Genomic DNA, 27,993 nt, shown 5'->3' with positions numbered 1-27,993 from the left:
GAGTAGCAGCTGCCCCTTGAAACAGACAGATGCGTTCTCTTTTTTGGATGTTCCCTTTTTACACTTTATAAAACAGTGTCTTGTTTTATAGAATAAAATTCTCATCAGATTTGTTGAGGATACATACCCACATTTAGGTTATTTTCTGACCCAGAATTATCTTTCAACTCCAGGGTGATGATTTTTTCTCTTTGTATAGCTTACTGTTTCCCTAGTCCTGCAGATGTATTTCAAATGTCTGACGATCCTTGGATTAGCTTTTAGGTTTGAGAATGAGGCCCAGGAGAAAAGCTCTGTGTATGTGGAAGGGTATTGGTGATGGGCAGACGTTGAGTTCAAGCCGATGGAAACCTGGCCTTTGTGCTTTGCCATCCCTAACTGCCCGATCGCAGAGGACTTTGCTCTGGGTCACCACCTATTACATTAGCTGCTCTGGCTCTCTCTAGATCTGTTTCTTTAAAGAAATATGCGTGTGTGCACCTGCACCCATATCCAGGGAGAAATGCCGGTAAGTCGAGGATTCTGATTTAACAGCTTATAAATCTCGAGTTCTGTTTTCAGTCCCACGGTTACTCACTCTGGACTCTATGAGCCTCTCTCTAGGCAAATAGGAGGCAGATTCCCTTCTAATTCTACCTCAGCTGTAGTCTTCCCTTTCAAGGATTTCTTTTCCTTCATTTCTGCTGTATCAATTATCTCTATTTCATTGCCTTCCCATTTTCTAGAAATTTGTTAAAAATTTTTTAACTGGAGCCGGGCACGGTGGCTCACGCCTGTAGTCCCAGCACTTTGGGAGGCTGAGGTGAGCAGATTGCCCGACATTAGGAGTTCGAAACCAGCCTGGCCAACATGGCAAAAACCGGTCTGTATTAAAAATACAAAAATTAGCTGGGCATGGTTGGGCATGCCTGTGATCCCAGCTACTCAGGACACTGAGGCACAATAATTGTTTGAACCCGGGAGGCGGAGGTTGCAGTGAGCTGAGATTGCACCACTGCACTCCAGCCTGGGTGACAGAGCAAGACTCTGTCTCAAAAAAAAAAAACATTTTTTTTTAATCAGTTAACCTCCTCTGCTAATTTCTGCTGTTGTAGGATTACAGTTTTTAAAAATTCCTTTACTGTTATTTTAATGGAGTTTAGAGGAAGGGTTAAGTATATGCATTCATATGCCATTTCAAACCCAAAACCCTAAACCTCTGGCCTCACAAAATGGAATTCCAGGCCGGGCGTGGTGGCTCACACCTGTAATCGCAGCACTTTGGGAGGCCAAGGCGGGTGGATCACTTGAGGTCAGGAGCTCGAGACCAGCCTGGCCAATGTGGTGAAACCCTGACTCTACCAAAAATATAAAAAATTAGCTGGGTGTGGTGGCGCATGCCTGTAATCCCAGCTGCTCAGGAGAAGGCTGAGGCAGGAGAATCGCTTGAACCTGGGAGGTGGAGGTTGCAGTGAGCCGAGACTGTGCCACTGCACTCCAGCCTGGGCAGCAGAGCAAGGCTCTGTCTCAAAAAAAATAAATAAAATAAATCTAAAATAAATAAATAAAATAAATGTTAAAAATGGAATTCCAAAAGGAGATATTGCTGCAGTTATTAATAGTTGTATATTTTAATTTTTCGTTTTAATGGAAGACCAAAGTTACCATAAAATTGTGTTGCCTATAATGTTATTTTCTTTTTTGATATGAAATAGCTGATGACTATCAGCCAGTTCGTCTGCTCAGTAAACCTGGGGAACTGAGAAGAGAATATGAAGAGGAAATAAGCAAGGTAGGTGCTAAATAGTTTTTTTTTTTGGAATATTTCTCTGCTGTGTTTTTAGTTTCAGATTTTAATTTAGTTTTTTGTGCTTATATAACTAGTATATCTTGAAATATGGATAATTTTTTTTTTTTGAGATGGAGTCTCACTCTGTCACCCAGGCTGGAGTGCAGTGGCGCAATCTCGGCTCACTGCAACCTCCACCTCCCGGGTTCATGCCATTCTCCTGCCTCAGCCTCCCGAGTAGCTGGGACTACAGGCGCCCGCCACTACGCCTGGCTAATTTTTTTGTATTTTTAGTAGAGATGGGGTTTCACAGTGTTCACCAGGATGGTCTCGATCTCCTGACCTTGTGATCCGCCCGCCTCGGCCTCCCAAAGTGCTGGGATTATAGGTGTGAGCCACTGTGCCTGGCCAAAATATGGATAATTTTAATGTACTTTATAAGGGCTTTGTTTTTTGCTGTAATTTACTTCTACATAATTAATGCTCTTATGTGATAGTGTTCCCTAAGCATTTACATATGAAGAAAATTTTTTAATTCTTCTTTTTCCTAATTTAATCCATACCAGGATATATTTTTATTTCCCCAAAGTTTTGAGCTTAAAGTAAAAGGGTGGTAGAGTGTGAGTTTAGATGAGGAAAGGTTAAAGGGCTAGCTGTGAAGTTCCTAAATAGGAAAAGTACCTAAAAAGCAGTGTTTATAGTGAAGCATTATGTTTTAATTACATATGAAGTTATACATAAATAGAGATTTTTCTCTTTTTTTGTTAGTCTTCAAAATTTTGTGTATAATTTTCACTTGTAATACATCTCAGGCTAGGTGTGGAGGCTCACACCTATAATTTCAGTGCTTTGGGAGGCTGAGATGGGACAGCTATCTTGCAGGAATCTACTTCTCCAGATTTGTACTTCATTTGAGATCATTTAAATTTCTGCCAATTTGTTCTTTTTCTACTTTTCTATTCTTGTTATGAAATATTGCAAGTATACCAAAACGTTCAGAGAAGGATTGCTCTTTATTAATCACTTTTAAGGTGGCGGCAGAGCGACGGGCCAGCGAGGAAGAAGAAAACAAAGCCAGTGAAGAATACATACAGAGGTTGTTGGCAGAGGAGGAAGAAGAGGAAAAAAGACAGGCAGAAAAAAGGCGAAGAGCGATGGAAGAACAACTGAAAAGTGATGAGGAACTGGCAAGAAAGCTAAGCATTGATATTGTAAGTTTTAGGAGGGAACGCTAAGGTATGGTCATCCCTTGGTATGCGCTGCTGCAGAACCCGCTCATGGGAAGAGTCAGCTCCTTGTATTTCCAGGTTCTGCATCCCACAAATATTGTCTTTTCCACCCCAGGCTGGTTGGATTTGAGTGTTTGGAACCTGCTGATACGGAAAGCTAACTATTAACATTCCGATTGCTTTGACTGTGGTTTTCAAAGAACAGAAGAGATGGCGTTGCCATAATTAGAAGCTATTGATAACATTTTTGCTTTACTTAAAGTAAAATTGTTTTGCATATTGTTACATATTTGCTCTAATCCAGGTTTTTGGGGTTTTTTGTTTTTTGAGACAGGTCTTACTCTGTCATGCAGGTTGGAGTGCAGTGGCACAATCACGACTCACTGCAGCCTCGACGGCCGGGCTCCGGTGATCCTTCCAACCTCCCGAGTAGCTGGGACTACAGGCTGGCACTACCATGCCTGGCTACTTTTTTGTGGAGACAGGGCTTTGCCATGTTTCCTGAACTGGTGTCGAGCTCCTGGGCTCAAGCCGTCCATCTGCCTCGGCGTCTCAAAGTGCTGGGTTTGTGGCGTGAGCCACCGCAAGTTGTTTAACAACTTTTTTATATGTAGGAAAGCTATTCAGTGAAGAATGAAAGCTTCCTTTTTCCTTCTTCCACCTCTCCACTCCCGTTCCTTTTCCATTTATATCAGTCTCTATCCCCAAAGGTAACCACTATTAACAGTTTCTTACAACTTTTTTCTTGCCAGGGTGCGATGGCTCGGGCCTGTAATCCCAGTACATTGGGAAGCTGAGGCGAGAGGATCGCTTGAGCCCAGGAGTTTGAGACCAGCCTGGGCAACAAAGTGAGACCCTGTTTCTTCAGAAAAATTAATAATGAGCCGAGTGTGATGGTGCGTGCCTGGAGCTCCACCTGCTGGGAGGGGCTGAGGCAGGAGGATCCCTTGAGCCCAGGAGTTTGAGGTTACAGTGAGCTGATCTCGCCACTGCACTTCAACCTGGAAGACCATCTCAAAAAAAAAAGCTTTTTTTCTTTATTGACCTAAAAAGGATTATATAAAGCAATCACACTGTTTTGCTGCTTACATTTTTTCCACTTGATAACATCGTAGAGATTTTTCATATTACTACATGTAGTCAATCTAATTCTTTTAAAGAGTGGAATAATATTCCATTTTATGGATGTAAATCACATTTTGAAAGTAAGGCACATTAAATTTTTAGATAATGTATTAAACTTGGATGTTCTGCTTCCTGTAGTTAAATTGCTGCCTGTAAGAAAATGAATTAAATGGTGTGTGATAAAACACATACTTTAAGATCAGAGGGTACTGTGGGGCCCAGTGGTTTGAACGAGCCTGGCAGAGTAACCTGGGAATGCTGTTGAAATACAAACTCTCATATTTACTCCAAATCTATTAAGTCAGAGTCTCTAGGGATGGGACCTAGGGAATACAATCTTCAGAGGCATGTAGGGAAGTGTGAAACATTCAGGTTTGAGAGCCTGTGAAAACAATTCTTCAGCTTTCAAACAACGAATATCTTAACATACACTTACCATTGAATCATGGGAAGTTCAATAGAATAAAAAAATATATATGTATATACACTTAGCAAAATGAGTATACGCAGAATTGGGAATTTTTTTCTTTTTTGAGAGGCCTACCATTAATAATAATGTACCCAAATTTTGGGTTATATGCCCCTTTTTATGTGTCTTTTTTAAGTAGAATCGCTTTAGAAATACACAATCAGGAAACTAAATAAAAGTCATTGACCAATGGAATAATAAATGGAATAGGGAAGAAGTATATCTAGTTTTCCCATGGTATTATAAGAGTAGATTTATTGATACTGTAGAATAATTTTTTTAACTTTTTTTTTTTTTGAGACAAGAGTCTCACTCTGTCACCCAGGCTGGAGTGCAGTAGTGCAACCTCAACTCCCGGTTCAAGCGATGCTCCTGCCTCAGCCTCCAGAGTATCTGGGATTACAGGTGCCGCCACCACATCCTGTTAATTTTTGTATTTTTAGTGCCGATGGGGTTTCACCATGTTGGCCAGGCTGGTCTTGAACTCCTGGCCTCATGTGATCCACCCACCTCAGCCTCCCAAAGTGCTGGGATTACAGGCATGAACCACCATGCCCAACCTAGAATAATTTTCTATTTATTTATGAAAGTTTGGTGGTTTAAGGCCAAATATTCACCATCACCATATATGAACTTTTCCATTAGGGTAGTAAGAAACTTACGAGACTGGTACAGCAAGTAAATATTTGTGATTTTTATTAATACGCCCTTAAAGTCCAGAACTAAAATATTATTACATAAAACTATTCTTTTGGGTATATCCACAGCTCTCTGAATATGTCCATATAGATAAAAGTAATTATATAAAAGTATTTATTAGAAAAATCAACAGGCTGGGCACAGTGGCACAGACCTATAATCCGAACACTTTGGAAGGCTGTGGTGGGGGAATCACTTGATTCCAATAGTTGGAGACCAGCCTGGGCAACATAGTGAGACCTCATCTTTACAAAGCATTTAAAAAAAAGTAGCTGGGCATGGTGGCACATGCCTGTGTCCTAGCTACTCGAGAAGCTAAGATGGGAGGATTGCCTGAGCCCAGGAGGTTGAGGCTACAGTGAGCTATGATCACTCCACTGCAGTCCAGCCTGGATGACAGAGCAAGACTCTGTCTCAAAATAAAACAAAAACAACCCACCTAACCAAGCCTGGTGGCTCATGCCTGTAGTCCTAGCTACTTGGGAGGTGAAGGTGGGAGGATCACTTGAACCTGGGAGGTCAAGGTTGCAAGGAGCCATGATTGCTACACTGCACTCCAGCCTCGGCGACAGAGTGAGACCCTGTCTTAAAAAAAAAAAAAAAAAAAAAAAAAAGGCCGGGCGCGGTGCCTCATGCCTGTAATCCCAGCACTTTGGGAGGCCGAGGCAGGCAGATCATGAGGTCAGGAAATCGAGACCATCCTGGCTAACACAGTGAAACCCCATCTCTACTAAAAAAAATACAAAAAATTAGCCGGGCATGGTGGAGGGCGCCGGTAGTCCCAGCTACTCAGGAGGCTGAGGCAGGAGAATGGCATGAACCTGCGGGGGTGGAGCTTGCAGTGAGCCGAGATCGCGCCACTGCACTCCAGCCTGGGCAACAGAGCGAGACTGCGTCTCAAAAAAAAAAAAAAAAAGGAAAGAAAGATCAACAGGAATTATCAGCTAATGAGGTTAGTATTATGCCTTATTTTGTGCTTGATGTACAGTAAAAATGTAATTAATTTAGACCAACTTGGATGAACATAGTTTATTCTGATTTTTGCATGGTCAATATTCTTCAAGAGATGTACAGAATTTAAATATAACTATAATTTCTGAAAAATGCTATGGATTTCTGAATTAGTCAAATTAATAGCTTATTTTATCATAAAGTTCTCTCTCATAATGTCTGTTATGCTTTTTCTATTGTTGAAGAACAATTTCTGTGAGGGAAGTATCTCGGCTTCTCCCTTGAATTCCAGAAAATCTGATCCAGTTACACCCAAGTCTGAAAAGAAAAGTAAGAACAAACAAAGAAACACTGGAGATATTCAGAAGTAAGTGAACATGACTATGAATTATTTGTTGACCTCCTACTGTATGCCAGTGTTTTCTGTTCATATAGACTACTACTGATTCTCAAAGTTTGGTCCGTGAACTTTGTATGAAAATAGTCTGAGGTTGAGGTAAATTGAAAAGGAGAGAGCTACTCACACAGCTTCCTCTTGGCTTCTCACTCAGCCACTTACTGTGGCAGATTCATACTTTTATCTTACTGCCTCAGGATTTCCAGTTTTCTCAAAGTGAACCATTGGATTCCTCTTTCTCTTGGTTTAAATTCAGATGAAAAAAATGGGTCCCAGATAGGCTTATCTTCACTGAAAGAGTTTACAATTTGTCATTTCTTCTCTATTACACAAAATGCATGAGTCAGGTAGACAAAGGTGGCGTGATTGAGTTTCACCACAACACCCCTCCAGGGTCAGGTGCCAGGTGGAGTTGGTGGCTTTACGCAAACATCAGCTTTCCCATGGTAACTCACAGTTGGAAAAGTTTAAAAACCACAGTCTAGACTTGAAAAATACATAAGGACTTCTGGTTCAACTGAGGAAATATGTGCAGGTAACTCATCTCCTTCCAAGATTTGTTGAAATTTTGTATTTGAGGTGGGAGGAAGCTTAGGAGAAGAGAATGTTAAATGAGGGAGGTACTATTAAAAAAAAAAAAAGATGTGACAATATCAGTGTCGCCAGTACTCATAATGTGCAAAGTAAAAATGAGAAAACCGCTAAAATGCAGAAGTATTTCATATTGATACAATATGCTGTTTAAGGCTATAACTCATGAATCTTTATATATCTAAATATATACTTTGAAATACATAAAAATAAAAAATTACCAGAGATACAAGAAAAACTAAGGATTTAAAAGCAAAAATTGAGAAACTGATGGATTAAAGTTGTAACAATATTAAAAACAGATAAAGTCTGTTTTCTAGAATATATGAAAACTCTTATAACTCAACAACAGAAGACAAATAATTAAAAACTGGACAAAGGGACTTGAGTAGACATTTTTCCCATGATGTACAAGTGGCCAATAAGTACACGAAAATATGTTTAACATCATTAGTTATTAGGGAAATGCATATCAAAACCACAGTGATATAGCATTTCATACCCATTAGGATGGCTATAATCCACAAAAAGGGAAAATAATAAGTGTTGACAAAGATGTGGAGAAATTGGAATCCTTGCGCATTGCTTGGTAGGAATGTAAAGTGGTATCGTGGCTGCAGAAAACAGTTGGTGATTCCTTGAAAAGTTAAACGGAATTAGCATATGACCCAGCAATTCCACTCCTAGGTATGTACCCAAAAGAATTGAAAGCAGGTATTCAAACAAATACTTGTACATGAATATTTGTGTCAACATTATTCAAATAACCGAAAGGTAGAAACAACCCAAATGTCCATTAACAAATGAATGGGTAAACAAAATGTGGCATTCCATTTTATGTGAATTACACCTCAATTCAAAAGTTTAAAAATGAATAACAGGATTATATAGTTTTAAAATTAAGAAAAATTTCTAAACAACTTGTTGATTAAAGAGTAAATTTTGTTGGAAATACAGAACTGAAAATATGCATGAAAACTGGTATGTGGCTAAAGTGGTATTTAGAAGGCTTTACGTGCCGTATCAGAAAAGAAGAAAGGGCAGCCAGGTGTTGTGGCACGTACCTGTAATCCCAGCTACATGGGAGGCTGAGGCAGGAGGATTGCTTAAGCCCAGGGAGTTTGAGTTTGGGACCAGCTTGGACAGCATAGCAAGATCCTGTCTCTAAAAAAAAAAAAAAAAAAAAGCCAGGGACAGTGGCTCATGCCTATAATCCCAGCACTTTGGGAGGCTGAGGTCTGAGGTGGTAGGATTGCTTGAGGCCAGGAGGAGTTCAAGACCAGCCTGGGCAACATAGTAAGACCCTGTCTCTACACAAAATAAAAAAATTAGCCAAATGCAGTGGCACATGCCTGTAACCCCAGCCACTTGGGAGGCTGAGGTGGGAGAATTGCTTGAGCCCAAGAGGTCGAAGCTGCAGTGAGCTATGATCATATCTCAAAAAAAAAAAAAAAAAAAAAAAAAAACGCAGCTGAAAACGTATTTAAAAAGACAATTCCAGGAATACATTGCTGGTTTAATGGTAGAAAATGAATCACTGTAAGTTATTCAATTAGCTGTATAAATATGAAATACACGAGATGATAATTCTTAATGAAGTGGTAACAGAAAGAAACTTTCTTAACCTGTTGAAGGATATCTACCAAAATCTTACATCACATATCATACTTCATAGTGGAACATCGAAATTATTTCCTTTTTTTTTTTTTCCAGACAGTCTTTCTTGCCCTGTCACCCAGGCTAGAGCGCAGTGGTGCGATCATGGCCCACTGCAACCTCAAACTCCTGGGTACAAGTGATCCTCCCGCCTGGGCCTCCCAAGGTGCCTGGATTACAGGAGTGAGCCGCCACGCCCCGCCATTCCCCTTGTAAGGTCAGGAATACGCAAGGGTGGCCTGCTACTCTCCACCTGCATTCAGACTCATGCTGGAGAGTTTAGTCTGCACAGTAACACAATAAAAGGAGATAAAACATATCAGCCTGGAAAGGAAGGAAAAAGCAGCTATCATTCTTCAGAGGCGGTATAATTATCTATGTAGAAAACCCAAAAAGTCAGAGGTACATTTTTAGAATGAAGAGTTTAGCAAGGTTGCCAGATATAAAATCTGTACAAAAAGTCAATTGTAAAATGTAACTTTAAAAATACTCTGTCGATAGTAGTATCAGAAAATAAAAGTACTTAAAAATAAATGTGTTAAAATCTGAGGCAAGCATGGTGGCTCATGCCTATAATCCCAGCACTTCGGGAGACTGAGGCGAGAGGATTGCTTGAGCCCAGGAGTTCAAGACGAGCCCGAGCTGCACAGGGAGACCCTATCTCTTAAAAAAAAATTAAAAAATTAACCAGGCATGATGATGCACACCTGTAGTCCCAGCTGCTCAGGTGGCTGAGGCAGGAGGATCACTTGAGCCTGGGAGGTTACGGCTGCAGTGAGCTGTGATTTTACCACTGCACTCCAGCCTGGGCAACAGACAAGACCATGTCTCAGAAAAATAAAAATCTGTACGACCCGTGGAGAAAATTGTATTATATTAAATATACAATATTCATGGGTTAGAAGATGCCTAATACTACAAAATGGTCAGATCTCCTCAGACTGATCTATAGAGTCAGTGCAATTCGAATCAGAATTCCAACTTTTCAAATTTTTCTTTTGAGACGGAGTCTCGCTCAGAATCACACAATACTAATCAATAAAGTGTTTAGAGATGCAAAAGTGTGGCAAATCTGTTTTAAAAAGTAAGATATAAGAAACTCAGGATAGTATGAGGTGGGAGATGACGAGGCCCCATAGGAGACTTTCAAACCAATGATTTCTTTTCCCTTCAACCAAGTAATAAGCATATGGGCTTTCATGGTAATACAGATTTTTAAACTTTTTAGAAGAATAACACATTTTTTTGTTTTGTTTTTAATGGACCACAGAGCAGCAAACATATATTTTAAAGTGCACCAGTCTTCGGCACCATAAGACAGGGTAAAAAAGAAAAAGTAAAAAATTTAAAAAGACGGTGCACCAATCCTAAGTATACTTTCTGGTGAATTTTTGTGTGTGTATAAACCACCCACCAGATGAAGACGGAATATTTACAAAGGTTTGCTTGTGCCCTTTCCCTTTCCAGTCAGTGTCCCCCTCCCCGTGACCGTGCTGTACTGTGATTCTTACATGTATTGTATGACTGTTCTCTCATAAACTTTGTTTTCATGAGGCAGACTTGGAAAGATCTTAAGACATTAGTGAAAAAAGCAAATCACAAGCCGGGCGCAGTAGCTTATGCGTGTAATCCTAGCACTTTGGGAGGGTGAGGCAGGCAGATCACTTGAGGTCAGGAGTTCAAAACCAGCCTGGCCAACATGGTGAAACCCCGTTTCTACTAAAAATACAAAAAAATTAGCCAGGCGTGGTGGCGGACGCCTGTAATCCCGCTACTGGGGAGGCTGAGCCAGGAGAATTGCTTGAACCTGGGAGGCGGAGGTTGCAGTGAGCCGAGGTCACACCACTGCACTCCAGCCTGGGCGATAGTCCGTCTCAAAAAAAAAAGCGTGAGGCTGGGTGTGTTGGCTCATACCTGCAATCCCAGCACTTTGGGAGGCCAAGGCAGGTGGATCACTTGAGCCTAGGAGTTTGAGACCAGCCTGGGCAACATGCGGAAACCCTGTCTCTACAAAAAATAACAAAAATTAGCCGGGCGTGGTGTGCCTGTGGTCTCAGATGTTTGGGAGGCTGAGGTGGCAGGATCACGTGAACCTGGGAGGTCAAGGCTGCCGTGAGCTATGATGGTGCTACTGCACTTCAGCCTTGGTGACAGCAAGACCCTGCCTTAAAAAATAATGAAGCCAGGCACGGTGGCTCACACCTGTAATCCCAGCACTTTGGGAGGCCGAGGCGGGTGGATCACCTGAGGTCAGGAGTTCAAGACCAGCCTGGCCAACATGGCGAAACCCCATCTCTACTAAAAATACAAAAATTAGCCGGGTGTGGTGGCGAGCACCTGTAATCCCAGCTACTCGGGAGGCTGAGGCAGAGAGAATTGCTTAAAACTCAGGAGGTGGAGGTTGCAGTGAGCTGAGACTGCACCACTGCACTCCAACCTGGGCAATAGAGTGAGACGCCGTCTCAAAAAAAAATAAATAAAATAATGGCCAGGTGCGGTGGCTCACACCTGTAATCCTAACACTTTGGGAAGCCGAGGTGGGTGGATCACCTGAGGTCAGGAGTTCAAGACCAGCCTGGCTGTCCTGTCTCTACCAAAAATACAATACTTCTGAGGTCAGGCATTCGAGATCAGCCTGTCTCTACCAAAAATACAAAAATTCGCTGGGCATGGTGGTGCATGCCTGTAATCCCAGCTACTTGGGAGGCTGAGGCAGGAGAGTTGCTTAAACCCGGGAGGCAGAGGTTGCAGTGAGCAGAGATTGTGCCATTGTACTTCAGTCTGGGCGATAGAGTGAGACTCTGTCCCCCAAAAAATAAAATAACTAAAATAAACAAAATCAAAAAGAGTGTGTATTTCATAGAAATCATATTTTTAAAAAATTGGTTACATATGTTAAAAGGAGAACCTTAGACAAATTAACAGAGTTTAATTGAGCAAAGGACAATTCACAAATTGGGCAGCCTCTCGAGCCAGAGTAGGCCGAGAGCGACTCCCGTGGAGCCACATGTCGGAAGAAGATTAACAGACAGAAAAGGGAACGTGATGTATGGAAAGCAGAAATGAGGGGCAGAGACAGCCAGAGTGGTTACAGTTTGGCATTTGCCTTATTTGAACATGATTTGAACAGTTGGCCCCCTTTGGCCAAAGCTTGGTGACTGGCACAAGAGTAGTTTACAGGCTGTTCACACCTCCCTTTAGGCTGTAGTTCACTATATACAGAGAAATCTTTGGGCTGAACTTAAAATACGTAAGGAGGCAGCTTTAGGCTAAACTTAATTTAAAACATAAAAGGAAGCAAATGGGAATGGATCCCAAAAATTCAGACTCAAGGAAAAAAGAAAAAAAAAAGTTCTTAAAACATGGGAAGGGAAAGGGTTGATGACATATATTTCCTGTATTTCTGTTTTGTTTAAGAGACAGGGTCTCACTGTTACCCAGGCCACAGTGGCAAGAAAATAGCTCACTGCAGCCTCAAACTCTTGGGCTCAAGCGATCCTCCCACCTCAGCCTTCAGAGTAGCTGGGACTATAGGCACACACCATTATGTCCAGCTAATTTTTCTTTTTAATTTTTTGTAGAGATGGGTCTTGCTGTGTTGTCCAGTTTTCGGACTCCTGGCCTCAAACGATCCTCCCACCTCAGCCTCCCAAAGTGTTAGAATTACAGGCATGAACCACCACGGCCAGTTCTGCTTATTTTCAGAATGAGCATGTATTCATATATTACTTGGTTATTATAAATAAGGAATATCCAAGAGAGTTAATGAATCTTCAGTGATTGTGTTGGATAAGTAATAACATTCTGTTCTCTGCTTATGAACGTCAAAACAACTGTTATAACAGTGATACTTTGGTACTGGTATGCTTCGTAAGTAGTGGTCCCGCATCAGCATTGACAGAAAGAATTCTTCAGCCTAAAGAAACTAAATGAGACTAAGCTTCTTTTCAACTGAAAATTTGGTTCTTGTTCTTCAAAGTTAACAGAGTAAATATATAGATTGATATAACTAAATATATGGGTTAGGTACTCTTGTTTGCCCATAAGGAATATTCATTAGTTCTTTATATGAGATCTTTGTTTAGGTTTGATTGTTCCATATGCTACTTGTTGGTGCTTTTGACACAGTGTAACTTATGGATTTGTCTGTTATTTATAGTCACTTTTTTTCTCTAATTCTAAAAGCCATGGCTAGCTGCTCTTTGAAAATCACCCAAAGTTTCCACCATTTGGAGACAACCAACATTTTGGGAAATTTCTGCCATTTGTAAACATAGTTATATGCATGTTTGGATATTTTACAATTTTTAAACTATACCTACCATCTTGTAGCCTGCCTTTTCTATTCCCCGTTCTTTTATAACATTTTCCATTCTATTAAAACCGTAGTGTTTTCAGTGGCAAACAGCCTGTTATATTGAAGATTCTTAGAAATGTAAAGATATGACCAGGTGCAGTGGCTCACGCCTGTAATCCCAACACTTAGGGAGGCCGAGGCAGGCGGATCACCTGAGGTCAAGAGATTGAGACCATCCAGGCCAACGTGGTGAAACCCTGTCTCTATTAAAAATACAAAAATTAGCAGGGCATGGTGGCGTGTGCCTGTAGTCCCAGCTACTCAGGAGGCTGAGGCAGGAGAATCACTTGAACCCGGGAGGCGGAGGTTGCAGTGAGCCAAGATCATGTCACGGCACTCCAGCCTGGCGACAGAGTGAGACTCTGTCTCAAAAAAAAAGAAAGAAATGTAAAGATATGTGTTTCTAAGAAGAGAGTTGAGGGCCAGGCACGGTGGCTCACGCATGTTATCCCAGCACTTTGGGAGGCCGAAGCAGGCGGATCACCTGAGGTCAGGACTTCGAGACCAGCCTGGCCAACATGGTGAAACCCCGTCTCTACTAAAAATACAAAAATTAGCTGGACGTGGTGGCACATGCCTGTAATCCCAACTACTCAGGAGGCTGAGGCAGGAGAATCACTTGAACCTGGGAGGCGGGGTTGCAGTGAGCCGAGATTGCACCAATGCACTCCAGCCTGGGTGACAGAGCAAGACTCCGTCTCAGAAAAAAAAAAAAAAGAAGAGAGTTGATATAAAAGTATGTATGATAACATCTCTATACCAGAATAGTAAGGAATTTAATCATGGACTTTTTCCCAATAGTAGAGATTTAAAATGTCGTGAACAGCCAACATTTCCAGCATAAAGAAGAAACTAACATATCCTTTCTCCTAGTTTAAAGCATCATTTTCATTACTTTTGGGAAGACTATAGAGTCTTGCATTGTTTTGATGCTATCTGCTTTTTTAAGCTTTTTTCAAGAATTAAGAAATATTTACGCTGGGCGCAGTGGCTCACGGCTGTAATCCCAGCACTTTGGGAGGCTGAGACAGGCGGATCACCTGAGCGTCAGGAGTTCGAGACCAGCCTGACCAACATGGTGAAACCCGTCTCTACTAAAAATACAAAAATTAGCCGGGCGTGGTGGCGGGCGCCTGTAATCCCAGCTACTCAGGAGGCTAAGGCAGAAAAATCGCTTAAACCCGGGAGGCGGAGGTTGCAGTGAGCTGAGATCGCGCCACTGCACTCCAGCCTGGGCGACAGAGGGAGACTCCGTCTCAAAAAAAAGAAAAGAAAAAAAAATATTTAGCCGGGCTCAGTGGCTCACGCCTGTAATCCCAGCACTTTGGGAGGCCAAGGCAGGCGGATCACGAGGTCAGGAGATCGAGACCATCCTGGCTAACACGGTGAAACCTCGTCTCTACTAAAAATACAAAATATTAGCCGGGCGTGGTGGTGGGCGCCTGTAGTCCCAGCTACTTGGGAGGCTGAGGCAGGAGAATGGCGTGAACTCGGGAGGCGGAGCTTGCAGTGAGCGGAGATCACACCACTGCACTCCAGCCTGGGTGACAGAGCGAGACTCTATCTCAAAAAAAAAAAAAAAAGAAAAAATATTTAGATTTGACTTTTACTTCCTTTTCTGTTTTTCACTAAAATATCAATACTCAATCATTTAAGTTTTGTCCTGGAATTGACCAAAATATCTGAAGCACGGAAATGAGATACACTCTGATAAAACAGCCAAGCAGCAAACCAGACAACCTTCGGTATAAATAGCTTTATTATGTTGGGTACATACCATCTGTCTTTGAAAGCATTGAAACTTTGGTAAACTTTTCTTTTAGGTATTTGACACCGAAATCTCAGTTTGGGTCAGCCTCACACTCTGAAGCTGTACAAGAAGTCAGGAAAGACTCCGTATCTAAGGTATGTTGATACTGAAGATGTTCTGAGTTTTGCTGGTTCATTAATGCTGTAGATTAGTGCTATCCATAGTTTTCTACCTTTTAACAAAAGCCCCTATAGTTAATCAAACACCCTGTCTGAGTCCTCTTAGGCTCACCTAGAGAAAAAGCACTTTTTCTCCAAAGGAAACTACAATTTTTTAAATAAACATACTACAAAAAGCAAAGTTTTTCTCTAAGAGAGTGAATATTTTCGCCTTTGCAGTTAGTGTGATCTGTGTCACAGCTTCTCAGCTACGCTGGTGTAGTGTGAAAGCATCTATAGATAATATGTAAACACATCAGCTTGAATGCATTCCAGTAAAACTTTGTTTACAAAAACAGGCAGGAGGCTGGATTTGGTCCATGAGCCATAGATTACTGATCCTTGACCTATGTAATCCAAACTCACAAAACTGAATAGGTTATACCTGGCACCAGCTTCACTTAGAATGTTACAAGATGGAGCTGAATGCGGTGGCTCACGCCTGTAATCCCAGCACTTTGGGAGACTGAGGCAGGTGGATTATCTGAGGTCAGGGGTTCGAGATCAGCCTGACCAACATGGAGAAACCCCATCTCTACAAAAAAATACAAAATTAGCCGGGTGTGGTGGCGCATGCCTGTAATCCCAGCTACTTGGGAGGCTGAGGCAGGAGAATTGCTTGAACCCGGGAGGTAGAGGTTGCGGTGAGCTGAGATCGTGCCGTTGCCCTCCAGCCTGGACAACAAGAGTGAAACTCTGTTTCAAAAAAAAAAAAAAAAAGAATATTACAAGATGGGAGGCCAAGCACGGTGGCTCAGGCCTGTAATCCTAGCACTTTGAGAGGCTGAGGCAGGCAGAAAGTTGGGAGTTCGAGACCAGCCTGGCCAATGTGGTGAAACCCCATCTCTACTAAAAATACCAAAAAAAAAAAAAAAATTAGCCAGGTGTGGCACATACCTGTAGTCCCTGCTACTCAGGAGGCTGAGGCAGGAGTATTGCTTGAACCCGGAAGGCGGAGGTTGCAGTGAGCTGAGATGTCGCCATTGCACTCCAGCCTGGATGACAGAGTGAGACTCCACCTCAAAAAAAAAAAAAAAAAAAAATTGCAAGATGAGAAAAAGTATGCTAGTAAGGCAGCATCAGGCATGTGTGTTCAGCAGGAGTCCTCAGCAGCAGAGCTCCAAGGTGATAGCCTGGAAAAAGGCCACACAAGTGAGTGTATTAACTACTTTGAGACCACATGCCCTGTAAGGGTCAATTATTTCTTATAACAAACAATGGGTCTAGCTTCCAGGGGTCTTGGTGAGAAATACACCCAGTCAAGTTACTTATAGAAGTAACTTATAGAAGTCCCAAGCTTTATCTTCCAAACACTAGGTATTTTTTTTTTGCTTGTTTGTTTTGTTTTGTTTATTTTTTGAGAGAGAATCCATCGTCCAGGCTGGAGTACAGTGGATGCTCGGTGCATCCTCAGCTTCCCTGGTAGCTGGGACTACAGGCTTATACCCCCACGCCCGGCTAATTTTTGTATTTTTAGTAGAGATGGGGTTTCATCATGTTGGCCAGGCTGGTCTCAAACTCCTGACCTCAGGTGAGCTGTCCGCCTCAGCCTCCGGAAGTGCTGTGATTACAGGCATGAGCCACCGTGCCCAGCCATGTTACAGATATCTTTAAATATCATTTATACTTATCTCTACATTGGTATTAGACTGCAGTTGTGCCTTGTGGCAAAACAGAGAGTGGGTGTACTACATCAGGGGTGACACAGATAATTGGGTATTATGAGTTATTAGACTGGCTGGTAGATCCTATTATTTACTGTATTATAGATGCACATTATTACCTCACATTTTTTTGAACCTTTTAATGATTGTGTTTACAACATAAATTGTTCCTTTTGTAAAGCTACTGTATATCTTAATTTTTTAGTTAAAAACATTATTCTCAGAAGTGGTCTGTAAGCTTCACCTAAATGCCAAAAGGAGGGTCCACGGTAGAGAAAAGAGTTAAAAACCCCTATGCTGGCAGACCTTTGTAAGGTGAAAGAAGGTCAGGTCCTGATACCAGCTATTGGCCATATTTGGAATCTAGTCTGTGGGTTTTAATCTGTAGGTTTTCATGGGAGTGAAAATGAAGTAATAGCTTAATCTAAATTTGCCCATGAAATAAAAATACTATTAAGAATAAATATACACCTATTTGGGAGGCTGAGGCAGGAGAATCACTTGAACCTGGGAGGTGAAGGTTGCAGTGAGCTGAGACCGCGCCACTGCACTCCAGCCTGGGCGACAGAGCAAGACTCTGAAAAAAAAAGAAAAGAAAGAAAGAAATATATACCTTATTAGTAATAATAATGTATAGTGACAGTCCAGCTGTAGTATCAGTGTAATTAGACTTACATCTTATGATTTGATATTTTCCCCTGGTTCACTCAGTCTTTTTCTGTTTTCTACAGGACATTGACAGTAGTGATAGGAAAAGCCCAACAGGGCAAGACACAGAAATAGAAGATATGCCGACACTTTCTCCACAGATATCCCTTGGAGTTGGAGAACAAGGTGCAGATTCTTCAATAGAGTCCCCTATGCCATGGTTATGTGCCTGTGGTGCCGAATGGTACCATGAAGGAAACGTCAAAACAAGACCAAGCAATCATGGGAAAGAGTTATGTGTCTTAAGTCACGAGCGACCTAAAACCAGAGTTCCCTACTCGAAAGAAACTGCAGTTATGCCTTGTGGCAGAACAGAAAGTGGGTGCGCCCCCACATCAGGGGTGACACAGACAAATGGAAACAACACAGGTGAGACAGAAAATGAAGAGTCGTGCCTACTGATCAGTAAGGAGATTTCCAAAAGAAAAAACCAAGAATCTTCCTTTGAAGCAGTCAAGGATCCATGCTTTTCTGCAAAAAGAAGAAAAGTGTCCCCCGAATCTTCCCCAGATCAAGAGGAAACAGAAATAAACTTTACCCAAAAACTGATAGATTTGGAGCATCTACTGTTTGAGAGACATAAACAAGAAGAACAGGACAGGTTATTGGCATTACAACTTCAGAAGGAGGTGGATAAAGAGCAAATGGTGCCAAACCGGCAAAAAGGATCCCCAGATGAGTATCACTTACGCGCTACATCCTCCCCTCCAGACAAAGTGCTAAATGGACAGAGGAAGAATCCCAAAGATGGGAACTTCAAAAGGCAAACTCACACAAAGCATCCAACACCAGAGAGAGGCTCAAGGGACAAAAATAGGCAAGTGTCTTTAAAGATGCAGTTGAAGCAGTCAGTTAATAGAAGAAAGATGCCAAATTCTACTAGAGATCACTGTAAGGTATCCAAAAGTGCTCACTCCCTACAGCCTAGCATTTCACAGAAAAGTGTTTTTCAGATGTTTCAGAGATGCACAAAGTAAGGCCTGGTAAAGGGAGTGCTTTGTGATCTAGTAAAGCTGGAATGTGAAGCTCTTTCCTATCATGGAATCTTCATCCATGTGTCATTCATGCTGCTCTCTAGGCACACTCATTGTCCTTAATGAAGGTCTGTGTGATTGTAAGGACTGCATAGACACATGAGCTTCTGCACAGCTCAGCGGTAAGCAGGGGTCCCCTGTCGTTTCCCTTCTTAATAACAGATGTGTATTAAGCTTTACAATTCTTAGAGATATCTTAAGCTTTGGCCAACTCCAGGAAATCTTCAAGTGCCATTGTCTTTCCAAAAACTGCATGTTTTATGGCCTTTGCTCACCTTTTTGTCGTGACTGGTAATCAAAGCAAGATTATACTATTCTGAGTGATTAAGGAACCCATGCAGGGTTTAAAATCCATTTTCTTGCTATTGTCCAATGTTTACAGAGTACTCAAAAGGTTTTCCTAAAGTAATCTAATTTCCATCTCCAATTTAATTCAATTTTCAGCATTGTAGCATTTCCTTTGGTGTTTGTTTTTTTTTTTTAGACGGAGTTTCAAAATTTGGATTCATATTCATATGTGGGAAATCCCAGATTTTTTTTTTTTTTTTTTTTTTTTTTTTTTTTTGGAGACAGAGTCTTGCTCTGTCACGCAGGCTGGTGTGCAATGGCGCGATCTCAGCTCACTGCAACCTCCGCCTCCCGAGTTCAAGCGATTCTTCTGCCTCAGCCTCCCGAGTAGCTGGGATCATAGGCATGTGCCACTACACCCAGCTACCCAGCTAATTTTTTTTTTTTTTTGTACTTTTAGTAGAGATGGGATTTCACCATGTTGGCCAGGCTGGTCTTGAACTCCTGTCCTCAGGTGATCCACCTGCTTCGGCCTCCCAGAGTGCTGGGATTATAGGCGTGAGCCACCACGCCCGGCCTGTTTCCTTTGGTTTAAAGTGGATTCGAATCAGTGTTAAATCAGAAAATCAGGGTTTTCTAGGAAATTGGGAATTAGTTGCCAGAAAGGAAACTGAACTATGCAGAAGGAGTTAAGAGCTGGGATGAGGCTGGATGGGGTGACTGACAGTCCAGATCATTGAAACAGATTGGGTCGTCGGAAACTGGTCCAGATGAGGCTGGATGGGGTGACTGACAGTCTGGATCATTGAAACTGATTAGGTCGTCAGAAACGGGTCCAGACGAGGATGAGGCTGAGGCTGGATGGGGTGACTGACAGTCTGGATCATTGAAACTGATTGGGTGGTTGGTCAGAAACGGGTCCAGATGAGGATGAGGCTGAGGCTGGATGGGGTGACTGACAGTCTGGATCATTGAAACTGATTGGGTGGTTGGTCAGAAACGGGTCCAGATGAGGATGAGGCTGGATGGGGTGACTGACAGTCTGGATCATTGAAACTGATTGGGTCGTCAGAAACTGGTCCAGATGAGGCTGGGTGGGGTGACTGACAGTTTGGATCATTGAAACTGATTGGGTGGTCAGAAACTGGTCCAGATGAGGATGTGGCTGGATGGGGTGACTGACAGTCTGGATCATTGAAACTGATTGGGTGGTCAGAAACTGGTCCAGATGAGGATGTGGCTGGATGGGGTGACTGACAGTCTGGATCATTGAAACTGATTGGGTGGTGAGAAATGGGTCCAGATGAGGATGAGGCTGGATGGGGTGACTGACAGTCTGGATCATTGAAACTGATTGGGTGGTGAGAAATGGGTCCAGATGAGGATGAGGCTGGATGGGGTGACTGACAGTCTGGATCATTGAAACTGGTCCACTATGACGCAGCAGGGGCAGTTTGGCAGAGCATCCTCTTCCCTTGTCCTTGTGAAAGAACACAGGAAACATTTGGGTTTTACAGCTTTTCACACCCTACTATCAGGCATCAGAATCAAAATTAGTTACTAAATTGGGTGAATTTTTGGAAACCTGCATTTCTATGCATCTGCTATTCCAGAAAAAAATGGGAATGTATTACAGGAGAGTTACCTCACAGTGTCTTATGTTGTGGAACCTGAAACATAACCACGTGTTTTCTTATATGATCATTTGTGTTGATACTGCTTTTATTTGAGTTTATGAACAGAAATAGAAAGTATGGTGCTTGGGTTTTGCCCTTTCTTACTCCTGAAAGTTAAATCAGAAGACACTGATTTCATTTTGTGAAATTTAGCTCAGAGACTATTGATCTTTTGTTTCATTAATATGAACAACTATTAGTAAAAAATAGCTTTAACAGCATTTCTGCTGATATCTAGTAATCTATTCTTTTAATGTGAAAATAAGATAAAATGTCCTGGAGCTAATTCTAGCTTAAATTTGCCAGTATTTCTGTATGTCATTAAGTTTTTTTCCTCTAAGGTTGGTAATAGAATTTTGTTAATCTTTGCATACCTGATGGCATCTATGTCAATGCTGATTGGGTAATTATAAATTCTGTGCTAATTTAAAACTTAATTTGCCTCTTAAGGTGATTGTCCTCTGAGTAATGATTGTAGTTAAATGAAGTATAGCTTGCAACTATACTATCACATGGGTCGTTAAGTAAAAATAAATAAACCAAATTTGTCTGAGACAGGCTAAGATCAATCTTCTCATCAAACCAATTTTTCTCTAAGAGCAATTTCACTTTCAGTTTTAGGGTGGACATTCTTGAATGCCTCAAATTAAACGTTATCTATTTAATCTTCCTGGAATAGTCTGTGACCAAAAAGGAGGGTGTGATATATTTAGGTGTAAATATATCACATATATGGTGTGATATATTTGGGATTTATATATTCAGCTCATTCTCTGTGAAGAAGTCTTCCTGACTAAAATTGGTTTCAAGATAAACTAATTTCTGTTAGTATTTCTACTCTGCCTACCATGTATGCCTTTTTGTTAGAAACTAATAAATGTATCAGTCACTAGCAGGTACTGGTCCTTTTTCCTCTCATTTTTGTGGAAAGGATATGCAAACACTGAATTTCTCAGGGAGTACTAAGGCTGTGCAGAGGCTGAGAATCTGAAAAATAAAATACTAAAAATAAAAATGGATTATTATGTGTATTTTACCACAACTTAAAAATATGTAAAAATCAGCTACATGAAAATTAAAAGTTCTGCATAACAAAAACTACCATCAAGGGAAATTGGAAGCTGTGGCAAACTTGGGAAGAAATAGTTGCAGTTCATCACAAAGAGCTAATTTCCTTTATGTAAAGTATCCTCCAGTTCATTAAGAAAAGACCAATAACTCGGCCGTGCATGGTGGCTCACACCTGTAATCCCAGCACTTTGGGAGGCCGAGGCAGGCAGATCACCTGAAGTCAGGAGTTTGAAACCAGCCTGGCCAACATGGGGAAACGCCGTCTCTACTAAAAATACAAAAATTAGCCGGGTGTGGTGGCGTGTGCCTGTAATCCCAACTATTCGGGAGGCTGAGACAGAGAATTGCTTGAACCCAGGAGGCGGAAGTTGCAGTGAGCCAAGATTGTGCCACTGCACTCCAGCCTGGGTGACAGACTGGAGACTCCGTCTCAAAAAAAAAAAAAAAAGAAAAAAAAGAAAAGTCCTCAATAGGAGAACTAGAAATGCGTATGTTCCCAAGAAACATCATTCACAAGAAAGTAACTATAACCGGTTCTGAACTATTAGGTGAAGAGATGCATAATCTTATGCTAATACTCATAAGTTTGTTCATCCTTCAGATTAGCAAAGATAAGGGAATTTTTTGTTTTGTTTTAATCTTGGCAAGACTGCGAGGAACTAGGCATTCTTATACATTGCTTGGTATGAATAGATAATTGAAAATCTCTGGAGGTACGTTTGACTATTCTAGGAATTTCTTAAGGCTGTCTTCACATGTATGCAGAATGACATGTAGGAGAAATTTTTGGCTGGGTGTGCTTGCTCACGCCTGTCTCAAAATAAAAATAAGCCGGGCATGGTGACATGTGCCTCAAAAAAACAAAAACAAAAAAGGTCGGGGGGTCAGGCACGGTGGCTCATGCCTTGTAATCCCAACAACTTTGGGAGGCCGAGGCAGGTGGATCACCTGAGGTCAGGAGTTTGAAACCAGCCTGGCCAACGTGGAGAAATCCCATCTCTATTAAAAATACAAAAATTAGGCGGGTGCCTGTAGTCCCAGCTACTCGGGAGGCTGAGGCACAAAAATCACTTGAACCCAGGAGGTGGAGGTTGCAGTGAGCCGAGAGATCACGCCATTGCACCCCAGACTGGACAACAGAGCAAGACTCCATCTCAAAAAAAAGGTCTTTATAGGAAGTCTGTGATGTTGTTTTTCATAACTCCAACCCGCCCCCAAAATCAGGGTGAATACCCAGAAAACACCTTGAGAAGGGAGTATGTGGCTGGACTCAGTGGCTCACACCTGTAATCCTAACACTGCACTGCGAGGCTGAGGTGGGCAGATCACTTGAGGTGAGGAATTTGAGACCAGCCTGGCCAACGTGGTGAAACCCCGTCTCTACTAAAAATACAAAAAAAAAATCAGCCAAGCGTGGTGCCAGGCCTGTAGTCCCAGCTGCTGGGGAGGCTCAGGCCGGAGAATCGCTTGAACCCAGGAGGCGGAGGTTGCAGTGAGCCGAGATCGCTCCACTGCACTCCAGCCTGGGCGACAGGGCAAGACTGCGTCTCAAAAAAAAAAAAAAAACTTAAAATGTTCTTAAAATATTGCAAGATAAAGGAAGCTTATAAATCTCAGTCTGCACCACTGTAGATGGCCCTTTTCTGCCTTTTAAGTTTTAAAAATTATAATTCAGGAAAGCTTTTTCAGCATTAAGAGAAAAAAGGGGCTGGGCATGGTGGCTCAGGACTGTAATCCCAGCACTTTGGGAGGCTGAGGCAGGCAGATCGCTTGAGCCCAAGAGTTCGAGACCAGCCTGGGCAACATGGTGAAACCCCATCTCTACAGAAAGTAGGAAAATTAACCAGTTGTGGGGGTGCACGCCTGTGGTCCCAGCTGCTCAAGAGGCTGAGGTGGGAGGGTCGCCTGAGTCCCAGAGGTCAGGGCTTCAGTGAACCAAGATTGCACCACTGCGCTCCAGCCTAGGTGATAGAGTGAGACCCTGTCTCGAAAAAGATTTTATTTGTTTTAGTTTTTGTTTGTTTGTTTTGTTTTTTGAGACAGTGTGTCGCTCTGTCTCTCTGGCCGCCCCCAAAATTTTGAAAGCAAAATGTAGGGCCGGGCGCGGTGGCTCACGCCTGTAATCTCAGTACTTTGGGAGGCCGAGGCAGGTGGATCACCTGAGGTCAGGAGCTTGAGACCAGCCTGGCCAACATGGTGAAACTCCATCTCTACTAAAAATACAAAAAAATTAGCTGGGCATGGTGGCGGGCGCCTGTAATCCCAGCTACTCAGGAGGCTGAGGCAGGACAATTGCTTGAACCCAGGAGGTGGAGGTTGCAGTGTGCCCAGATCGCGCCACTGCACTCCAGACTGGGCGACAGAGCAAGACTCTGTCTCAAAAAAAAAAAAAAAAAAGTAGCCGGGCGCGGTGGCTCATGCCTGTAATCCCAACACTTTGGGAGGCCGAGGCGGGCGGATCACGAGGTCAAGAGATCGAGACCATCCTGGCCAACATGGTGAAACCCCATCTCTACTAAAAATACAAAAATTAGCTGGGCATGGTGGCGGGTGCCTGTAGTCCCAGCTACTCAGGAGGCTGAGGCAGGAGAATCGCTTGAACCCAGGAGGCGGAGGTTGCAGTGAGCCGAGATCGCGCCACTGCACTCCAGCCTGGCAACAGAGCGAGACTCTGTCTCAAAAAAAAAAAAGTAAAAGAGGCCTGGTGTGGTGGCTTATGCCTGTAATCCCAGCACTTTGAGAGACTGAGGTGGACAAATTGCTAGAGCTCAGGAGTTCAAGACCAGCCTGAGCAACATGGTGAAACCCCCTTCTCTACCAAGTGTGGTGCACGCTTGTAGTCCCAGCTACATGGGAGGCTGAGGTGGAGGATCGCTTGAGCCTGAGAGGCGGAGGTTACAGTGAGCTGAGATTCTAAGATTGTACCACTGCACTCCAGCCTGGGTGACAGTGAGACCCTGTCTCAAAAAAAAAAAAAAAAGGAAGGGGAAAGAGAAAGAAAAAAAAAAGGAAGGAAAAAGAAAGGAAAATAGCATTGTGAGGAATTTTTGACTTACTTAGCTTTAGTGAACTATTTTTAAAATATTTGAAAAACAAAACTTACGCTTTTCAGATTGGATTGCAGGACATTTACAATCCTGTGAACAATGGGAGAAGCCAGATAAAAATATAAAATTACTTAAAAGCATTAGTGAGCTACTGAAACAATGAGGGCCAAAGGGGCTAAGATTCTGGAGAGGGGAGACCTAAAAGGCAAACTGATGTTTGCAACCACTTTTTTCCCTGCTAGTCTGAGCTAGTTTGTAAGATAAGGCTGGGCGACGTGGCTCATGCCTTTAATACCAGCACTTTGGGAGGCTGAGGCAGGATGATCACTTGAGTCCAGGAGTTAGTTAAAGACCAACCTGGGCAATACAATGAGAATCCAACTCTACATAAAATTTCAAAATTAGCCAGGTGTGGTGGTGCGTGCCTGGAGTTCCAGCTACTTGGAAGGCTGAGGTGGGAGGATTGCTCAAGCCCAGGGGTTTGAAACCACCTTGGGCAACATAGTGAGACCTTGTCTCTACAGAAAGAAAAGAAAAAAAAAATTAGCTGGGCATGGTGGCTTCAGCCTGTAGTCCCAGCCACTTGGGAGGCTGAAGCAGGAGGATCACTTGAGCCTGGGAGGTCAAGGCTGCACTTCAGCTTGGGCAACAGAGTGTGAGAGTATCTAAAAAAAAAAAAAAAAAACCAAAAAGGAAATTGAACTATAGGATCCATAACTTTTTTTTTTTTTTTTGAGAGACAGAGTCTTACTCTGTTCCCCAGGCTGGAGCGCAGTGGTGCGATCATAGCTCACTGTGACCTCCAACTCCTGGACTCCAGCAGTCCTTCTGCCTCAGCCTCCCAAGTGGAAAGGTTGCTAGGACTACAGGAACATGCCACAACACCCTGCTAATTCAAACAATTTGTTTTGGTAGAGATGGGGGTCTCACTGTGTTGCCCAGGCTGGTCTTGAACTCCTGGCTGCAAGCAATCCTCCCGCCTCGGCCTCCCAAAGCTTTGGGATGACAGGTATGAGTCACCACACCTGGCAGGCCCAGTAACTGACATGAGTTTGAGAATCAAAACAGAGTCATGTCGTGCAGGAGGGAAAAAATAAAATAATTTTCTTTTTAACTCGGTCTCTACTTGTGTGACCTTGCGGGAACTAGTTAGCTTTCATTACCTCACTTTTAAATTTGTAATGAGGCTGGGGTGGTGGCTCACACCTGTAATCCCAGAACACTGGGAGGCCGAGGCGGGTGGATCACCTGAGGTCGAGTTCGAGACCAGCCTGACCAACATGCTGAAACCCTGTCTTTACTAAAAATACAAATACTAGCTGGGTGTGGTGGTGCACGCCTGTAATCCCAGCTACTCAGGAGGCTGAGGCAGGAGAATCACTTGAACCTGGGAGGCAGAAGTTGCAAAAGCAGAGATGGCACCACTGCTCCAGCCCGGGCGGCAGAGCGAGAGTCTGTCTTTAAAAGAAAAAAGAAAAAGATTGTAATGAATATCATAATGTAACCACCAGAGTGGCTATGGTAAGTAATATGTGTAGAGCAGCTGGCATGGCCCCTGAGAAAAATAATCCTTAATAAGTGACAGTTCCTTCCTTCTGGCTCTTCTCCACCCCCACTGCTCTGCCAGCCCCACTTTTTTCTTGGAAGAGTCTCACTTATTGGAGTCATCCAGTGACTTTGTGCTGCCGTAAGTCCCCAGATACGGCATCCAGTAGATTGCACTGATCTGTCTTCTGATGAAGCCTCCTCTTACCTCTTCTCTGCCAGATGTATCCTGGGTCACAAAAGACCTTGGCTCCAGAAGAAACTGATTCTCAGAAATACCTTGTGACTTACTCAAGTTCTCATACTAGCTCTGCGTATGTGGTGTGGATAAAAATTTGGAAAACAGACACTAAAAACTTGGAGGTATTAAAAAGGCAGGATCATGCAGGTGCAAAGTAATCCTACCTGTAATCACAACACTATGGGAGGCCGAGCTGGGAGGATTGCCTAAGCCCAGGAATTCGAGACCAGCTTGGGCAACATGTCAAAACCCCATCTCTATTATATTAAAAAATTTAGTTATTTTTTAAAGACACAATCCATTTGGAAGGACATACAAGAAAAATAAGACTGCAGAGTTCAGCCTGTATTGTAGGAGAGTTGAGTCTGTAATGTAGGAGAGTTGAGTCTGTACTGTGGGAGAGTTGAGTCTGTACTGTGGGAGAGTTGAGTCTGTACTGTGGGAGAGTTGAGTCTGTACTGTGGGAGAGTTGAGTCTGTACTGTGGGAGAGTTGAGTCTGTACTGTGGGAGAGTTGAGTCTGTATTGTGAGAGTTGAGTCTGTACTGTGGGAGAGTTGAGTCTGTACTGTGGGAGAGTTGAGTCTGTACTGTGGGAGAGTTGAGTCTGTATTGTGAGAGTTGAGTCTGTACTGTGGGAGAGTTGAGTCTGTACTGTGGGAGAGTTGAGTCTGTACTGTGGGAGAGTTGAGTCTGTACTGTGAGAGAGTTGAGTCTGTATTGTGGGAGAGTTGGGTCTGTACTGTGGGAGAGTTGAGTCTGTACTGTGGGAGAGTTAAGTCTGTATTGTGGGAGAGTTGAGTCTGTATTGTGGGAGAGTTGAGTCTGTATTGTGGGAGAGTTGAGTCTGTACTGTGGGAGAGTTGAGTCTGTATTGTGGGAGAGTTGAGTCTGTATTGTGGGAGAGTTGAGTCTATTGTGGGAGAGTTGAGTCTGTATTGTGCGAGAGTTGAGTCTGTATTGTAGGAGAGTTGAGTCTGTATTGTGGGAGACTTGAGTCTGTATTGTGAGAGTTGAGCCTATTGTGGGAGAGTTGAGTCTACTGTAGGGGAGTTGAGTCTCCATTGTGGGAGAGTTGAGTGTATTGTAGGAGAGTTGAGTCTGTATTTTGGGGGAGTTGAGTCTGTATTGTGGGGGAGTTGAGTCTATTGTGGGAGAGTTGAGTCTATATTGTAGGGGAGTTGAGTCTGTATTGTAGGGGAGTTGAGTCTGTATTGTGGGGGAGTTGAGTCTGTATTGTGGGGGAGTTGAGTCTATATTGTAGGGGAGTTGAGTCTGTATTGTAGGGGAGTTGAGTCTGTATTGTGGGGGAGTTGAGTCTGTATTGTGGGAGAGTTGAGTCTGTATTGTGCGAGTTGAGTCTGCATTGTGGGAGAGTTCAGTCTGTATTGTGGGATAGTTGAGTCTGTATTTTGGGATAATTGAGTCTGTATTGTGGGATAGGTGAGTCTGTATTGCAGGGGAGTTGAGTCTGTATTGTGGGAGAATTGAGTCTGTATTGTGGGAGAGTT

General features: G+C 42.7%; 1 protein-coding gene across 1 annotated transcript in view, besides 5 other annotated features; it reads left to right on the top strand.

Annotated features, from left to right (window-relative positions):
- RNF168 (ring finger protein 168) overlaps positions 1–21,595 on the top strand; it is a 34,986-nt gene extending 13,391 nt beyond the window's left edge. Inside the window, exons 2-6 of the mRNA NM_152617.4 lie at positions 1,695–1,771; positions 2,800–2,979; positions 6,487–6,608; positions 15,066–15,147; positions 17,606–21,595. Of these exons, the coding sequence (NP_689830.2) occupies positions 1,695–1,771; positions 2,800–2,979; positions 6,487–6,608; positions 15,066–15,147; positions 17,606–18,559 (1,415 nt within the window). The 3' untranslated portion in view covers positions 18,560–21,595. The remainder of the gene's footprint in view (positions 1–1,694; positions 1,772–2,799; positions 2,980–6,486; positions 6,609–15,065; positions 15,148–17,605) is intronic.
- Positions 19,995–20,171: a silencer, noted in NCBI's record as "fragment chr3:196197078-196197254 (GRCh37/hg19 assembly coordinates)". NCBI's record gives its function as "represses an EF-1alpha promoter that drives an FKBP-Casp9 reporter gene in an ReSE screen in HepG2 liver carcinoma cells {active_cell/tissue: HepG2}" and the evidence as "EXISTENCE:reporter gene assay evidence [ECO:0000049][PMID:32094911]".
- Positions 26,190–26,349: an enhancer, noted in NCBI's record as "active region_21092". NCBI's record gives its function as "activates an Ori minimal core promoter by ATAC-STARR-seq in GM12878 lymphoblastoid cells {active_cell/tissue: GM12878}" and the evidence as "EXISTENCE:reporter gene assay evidence [ECO:0000049][PMID:35858748]".
- Positions 27,210–27,299: an enhancer, noted in NCBI's record as "active region_21091". NCBI's record gives its function as "activates an Ori minimal core promoter by ATAC-STARR-seq in GM12878 lymphoblastoid cells {active_cell/tissue: GM12878}" and the evidence as "EXISTENCE:reporter gene assay evidence [ECO:0000049][PMID:35858748]".
- Positions 27,310–27,359: an enhancer, noted in NCBI's record as "active region_21090". NCBI's record gives its function as "activates an Ori minimal core promoter by ATAC-STARR-seq in GM12878 lymphoblastoid cells {active_cell/tissue: GM12878}" and the evidence as "EXISTENCE:reporter gene assay evidence [ECO:0000049][PMID:35858748]".
- Positions 27,480–27,529: a silencer, noted in NCBI's record as "silent region_15064". NCBI's record gives its function as "represses an Ori minimal core promoter by ATAC-STARR-seq in GM12878 lymphoblastoid cells {active_cell/tissue: GM12878}" and the evidence as "EXISTENCE:reporter gene assay evidence [ECO:0000049][PMID:35858748]".

This window comes from Homo sapiens, chromosome 3, assembly GCF_000001405.40.
Source record: "Homo sapiens chromosome 3, GRCh38.p14 Primary Assembly".
Classification (NCBI taxonomy): Eukaryota; Metazoa; Chordata; class Mammalia; order Primates; family Hominidae; genus Homo; species Homo sapiens.
The sequence above is the reverse complement of the archived record's forward strand: the minus strand, read 5'-3'. Positions and strand labels throughout refer to the sequence as shown.